This window comes from Homo sapiens, chromosome 13, assembly GCF_000001405.40.
Source record: "Homo sapiens chromosome 13, GRCh38.p14 Primary Assembly".
In the NCBI taxonomy this organism is placed as follows: domain Eukaryota; kingdom Metazoa; phylum Chordata; class Mammalia; order Primates; family Hominidae; genus Homo; species Homo sapiens.
Genome location: NC_000013.11, coordinates 80,167,776 through 80,168,791, shown reverse-complemented (window position 1 = coordinate 80,168,791; position 1,016 = coordinate 80,167,776).

Genomic DNA, 1,016 nt, shown 5'->3' with positions numbered 1-1,016 from the left:
AATTAATGAATGTGTATCATTTATTGAATGCAGTCATTACGTTCCTGGCACAGTGCTAAGAGCAGCACAAATACATCAACATTCACTTGTCACTAAAAAAGCCCCTGTGAATTAAGCAATGTTACTTCCCTATTTCTGAGATGAGGAAACTGGGCTTGGAGAAGTAAAACAACATACTCAAGGTCATACAAAGTGGGAAGTTATCAAATGGGGTTAAGCCAGGGACATATAGTATCAAAACCCTCTGCTATTGGCTTTTCAACCCTTCTTCCTCTGTTAAAGATAGAGGACTATTGGCAGAGTTTATGCAGAAAGGAGTTGAGTCTTGAGGACTTGTAGTTAGCTGGGAACCTGCTCCTCTTCCAGGGCCTTTGCAAGTCTTACTTGCTGGTGGCCCGGGGAATTCAGGCAGGGGCTCCCATGCCAAACCTTGTCAGGAATCTGGTTTTTGTCTTTCACAGGTTGATGTGGCCCATGACAGGAATTACACGTCAGGGCCAAATATACATTACTAGAAATAGATTACATCAGGAAGCCAGATTTATATAGTTTAAATAGAAGTGAAGAAAACTGGAAGGAAGATACAGCAGTCTAATCTGTGGTTGAATCATGCACCATAATTAAGCCTCCTCATTTCCTACTCTTTCCTTCTGCATTTTGCAAATGTCTCCATCTGTGACTCATCTTTTTTTACAGCAACATCACTCCCTCATATTTCTTTTTCTTGTCTTGCTATTTTCTCCATCAATTCTGTCTCTAACTTTTCTAGGAAGATCCTATTGATTATTAAAATTATCAAAGAATAAGGGGAAAGAGACAATTCTTGAAGAAACATTAGGAATCCATATTATTAAATCAAGTCCCTCAGTAAAGCCAGAAGTTATAATTTGGTAGCTGATGTTAATGAGAACATTATACACATAATTTAGTTTAGCATATTTTATAAGAGCCTAATTTTCAGCTGGAACTTTGCTAGGTGCTGAAAATATCAAAATAAATTAGGCACAACCTTTTTC